Source organism: Homo sapiens, chromosome 16 (genome assembly GCF_000001405.40).
Source record: "Homo sapiens chromosome 16, GRCh38.p14 Primary Assembly".
NCBI classification, from domain to species: domain Eukaryota; kingdom Metazoa; phylum Chordata; class Mammalia; order Primates; family Hominidae; genus Homo; species Homo sapiens.
In genome coordinates, this window is record NC_000016.10 from 62,899,125 (window position 1) to 62,903,895 (window position 4,771).

Consider the following 4,771-nt stretch of genomic DNA (forward strand, 5'->3'; position numbering starts at 1 on the left):
GTGTGTGTGCCTTTGCTTTGTGTTTTTAGCTTATTAGTTGTAAGACAGCTGCCCAGTCCCGACATCACATCCACATTTGGAACAGAGAGCAGAGACTAGAAAGCAGGGACTAGGTAGCAGTGCCAGCCTAGGAAAATTATGCCAGTATTCTACAGGCAAAATTATATCAGAGGGCCTGATCTGTCTTTCAAGAATGCAGACAAATGACTATTTAGCATTTCTAGCTTCTATAACGAACATAGACAAGAAAAAAAAAATTATTGGGAGTGGAAGTTTGGAGATCCAAACCTTAATGGAACAGCCATAATTTATACTTCAGTCATTAGGATCTATTTTGTCTACTGTCTTGCAATTTTCAGAATAGTTAATTTTCTTAGAATATACAGAAAGGAAGATATTTCATACCTAGCAATTCCATAAAAGGGACAACCACTGTCATCCTTCCAGGTGAACATTTATTTGTGTTAATTGGTCCAGGCTTCAAGGCCTGGTGGAAAGAAGACATGGCAGGAGAAATGAGAAAAGTGTCTGTGTGTACGAAGGAATTAGATGCACAGTAGCATAGATAATGGGGCAGATTCTTTCATTTAATATAATTAACACAATGTCCTGTCCATTGATAACTATAGTATTTTTAATAGTTTGGGGTGGAATACAGCCCAAAATATGCCACATGACATTTTTCCTTGAACTCAGCTCTCCTATTGTTTTGGTGGAAGCTCTCTCTTATGTCGTTGGAATAGCAACATTTCTGGTCTTGTCTTTATTCAGCTTGGGAATCTCTTTGAGAAGATATCAAAACAGGCATTTCTGTCAACTGACATGAAAACACTGAGTGAAGCAAATTTTCCCATGTAGTTGCCAGTTTACATGGCAACTGCAAAGGAATTTTCAAGGATTATATCTAAGTCAGTGGTTTGTTCTGCTATAGCATGTGTGGAGAATAAATTCAAAAGCATCTTTGGTATTTTTTAAATTTAATTATTTAATTTAATAAATTTAATAATAAAAATAACAATAGCTAATATTTACTGATTATCCATATTTTATGTCATTCACTTTATCTCTTTTAATATAGTACTTTGCTTTAAAAACATTCACAACAATTTCATGTGATGTGTTTGGCTGTGCCCCCACCCAAATCTCACCTTGAATTGTAGTTCCTATAATCCCCCAAAATTATGGGAGAGACCTGGTGAGATGTAATTGAATCGTGGGGGCAGTTACCTCCATGCTACTCTCCTGATAGTGAGTTTTCATGAGATCCAATGGTTTTATAAGGGGCTTTTCCCTGCCTTCATTCTGCACTTCTCCTTGCTGCCACCACGTGAAGAAGGACGTGTTTGCTCCACCTTCCGCCATCATTGTAAGTTTCCTGAGGCCTCCCCAGCCATTCTGAACTGTGAGTCAATTAAACCTCTTTCCTTTATAAATCACCCAGTCTTGGGATATCTTTATTAGCACGGTGAGAATGGACTAATACACCATGGAATGGGAACTATTTTCCATCAATTTTACAGATGCGAAAATTAAGACAATAAGAAATCACTTCCCCAAGATCACAAAAAGTCAAGGAGTAAAGCTGACCCGAAAGTCCATATTTTATCACATTGTTTTAGTTTCTTGAAGCTGCTCTAGCAAACTGCCACAAATATAGTACGTTAAACAAAAATTTATGCCCTTATAGCTCTGAAACCACAAATCCGAAACCATAGTGTTAATGGGGGTGCACTGACTCTGGAAGAGCAAGAGACAAATTTGTTTCCTGTTTCTTCCAGCTTCTGGTGGCTGCAGGCATGTGAAAACTCCCTCTGAGAGGATAAGTCTCACCTGTCGAGGTTCTTAATCATGTTTTTCCCATATAAGGAAATCCTTACTGTTTTACCATATCAGGTAATATTTACAGGTTCCATGGATTAAGAAGTGAATTCATCTTAGTGAGGCTATTTTTCAGCCTACCACACAAATGCAGTGAAGAATCCTCCAATACTGCTAAGAAAGCGCAAGGTCATTCTGTGGAATCTGGTCCATATATATATGCACATTAAAATAGAAAATATATTTCACAGAGGAAAAAGTAATGATGGAAATCTAATTTACATAATTAGAATTTTAAAAGTACTACAAGAAACTGTTAGAAAACGATGTCATTTAATTTCTCAGAAAACACAGAGAAAATGTGCTGCTCCAAATTCCTTACATGAACGAAATGTGACTTTGAGTCAAGCTTGGGCTGTTAAGTGATACAGCATTCATTCCTGTGAACCAATTTGAAGGAAGATGGGAGAAAAATAGGGTTATGAAGATCGTGGATGTCTGTAATTGAAAAGGAAGGCATTCTTGAGGTCACTGTGTCTATATATATCATATATATATATATATATATATATCATATGTGTATATGTTTGTGTGTGTGTATATATCTCTCTATATATGTATATAGATATATATATATATATGAAAGGGAGTTTATTCAGGAGAATTGACTCACATGATCACAAGTCCCATGACATGACATCTGAAAGCTGAGGAGCAAGAAAGCCAGTGATGGATCAGTCCAAGTCCCAAAACCTTAAAAGTAGGGAAGCCAACAGTGCATCCTTCAGTTTGTGGCCAAAGGCCTGACAACCCTGGCAAACCACTGGTGTAAGCCCAAGAGTCCAAAACCTGCAGGACTTGGAGCCTGATGTTTGACGGCAAGAAGCATCAAATATGGGAGAAAGAGGAAGGCCAGAAGATTCAGCAAGACTGCTCTTCCAAATCCACCTGCCTGCTTTATTCTAGCTGCACTGGAAGCTGATTAGATAATGCTTACCCAGATTGAGGGTGAGTCGGCCTCTCCCAGTCCACTGACTCAAAAGTTAACCTCCTTTGGCAACACCCTCACAGACAAACCCAGGAACAATACTTTGCATGGTTCAATCCAATCAAGTTGACACTCAATATTAACCATCACACTCCAAAAATGAACTGAAGACTTACAGGAGGGGGCATAGTGACTCTGTCTTCCTGTTCTTTTCTGGAAGACTTAGATCAGGTATTGACATCTCAAAGGATGAAATGAAGTGGTGGCAACTTCTTCCATGTTTTGATTGTTTAAAGAAAAATCTGATCTATGTTTTGGTGAAGCCTCTGAATTCAGCGATCTGTCTTTCATTTAGAGGTCTCCATTTCTTCACTGTAATATAGCTGTGTCCTAAGAAAGCCATGTGGTCAGATTGTGACACTTATTTTTCTAAGTTTCTTTATTAGTAAGGCCTACTGCCTGTTTTTGTTTGTTTTCTGTTTGTTCATTTTGTTTTGCTTTATATTTTTTCTTACAGTCATTTTTAATCTAAATGAATACTTTTACCTATTGTCTAATGTAGGTATAATGTAGACATATACTTTTAATCAGGACCCATCTAATTTGGAGACATTTTATAGACATGGGTAAACACATTAATAAAGAGGCAATCACTGTGTAGCTAGGTGAGCATTTTCATAATCCTTGAGTATCCAGGTAATCAAATAATGAAATATGTGTTTCTGTCTTCCAGAATTAAATCCAATACTTTAATTTATTATTTAAGATACCTAATTATTCTACATCACCAAAACCTATGCCTAGATTTATATTTTTCTTTCACCAACCTGTTTATCTTTTGCCCACATTAGCTCTATATGTCTACCTAGCATGAATCAATCATCTGTCTATTTATCTATTCCTTTTGCTAAAATATCTGTTAAAGCTAAAATTCTATGAAATACTCATCAATCAGTCAAATAATTCACATGCATAATTTAGATAGAATAAATTCACAACTAGTGATGAAAATAAATGCTCTGAATGTTTTGTGAATTTAAAAACCTTGGGTTAATCATAGGACTTTAAAATATGACATGATAATGTACTCATAGAGATTAAATTTTTAGAACTGTATTATGTGATCCATTAGCTATGTAGAATAAAAGGATATATAGAAAATAATATATATACACACATCTATATGTATCTGTATCTAGACATATATAGATATTTCTGTATCACGTTTTTCTCTTTAAAGATTATTAATGAGAGTTATTTTTCTGCATCATAGTCAGTTTGAAATCACTATTTAAATTAATTATGACAGCCATATCAATTAGACATAAGAGATTTCTAAAGCTAATTAGAGTCTGAGAGTTTTTAATTTGACGTCTGTCTCTGTGTAATATGTGCTTTATGCATTAAATTAATGAAATTAAGCCTGCATCATTATAAATATCCACTTTCATAGTTCCATAAGTTTCACAATTACATGCCATATTTGAGTGATAATTGAATGAGACTAAATAATTATGTTCACATCAGCATTGGTAGGATTTTAAGAATGTATCTTTTACTTTTCACTCTCAAGTCTTGTGTACCTAGCAGTACACAACTTGTTGCCAAGAAAACCTTGTCATTTTCAGAATAAAGACAGTGTAATAGAAGCTGTAAGAGAGATGAGGTTCATCAGAAGCATATTAATGTATTATAAAATAAGGTAATACCTGAAGACCAAAAAATATATAAACTCTAATTAATGTACAGTGTAATATTTTACAAACTCTTCTATTTAATAGGACCATATTTACCTGAGATGATTACCTGATGCATTATACTCAATATAAATATAGAAAATGATTTTGTTTTTAAAATAAGAAATTTGTCTTCTCTGCATATATATGTGTAATTTATGTTTATATTAAGGTTGCATCACTGTATAATGTTTTGAAATAAAACTTTAACATATTCTGTGAAAATACA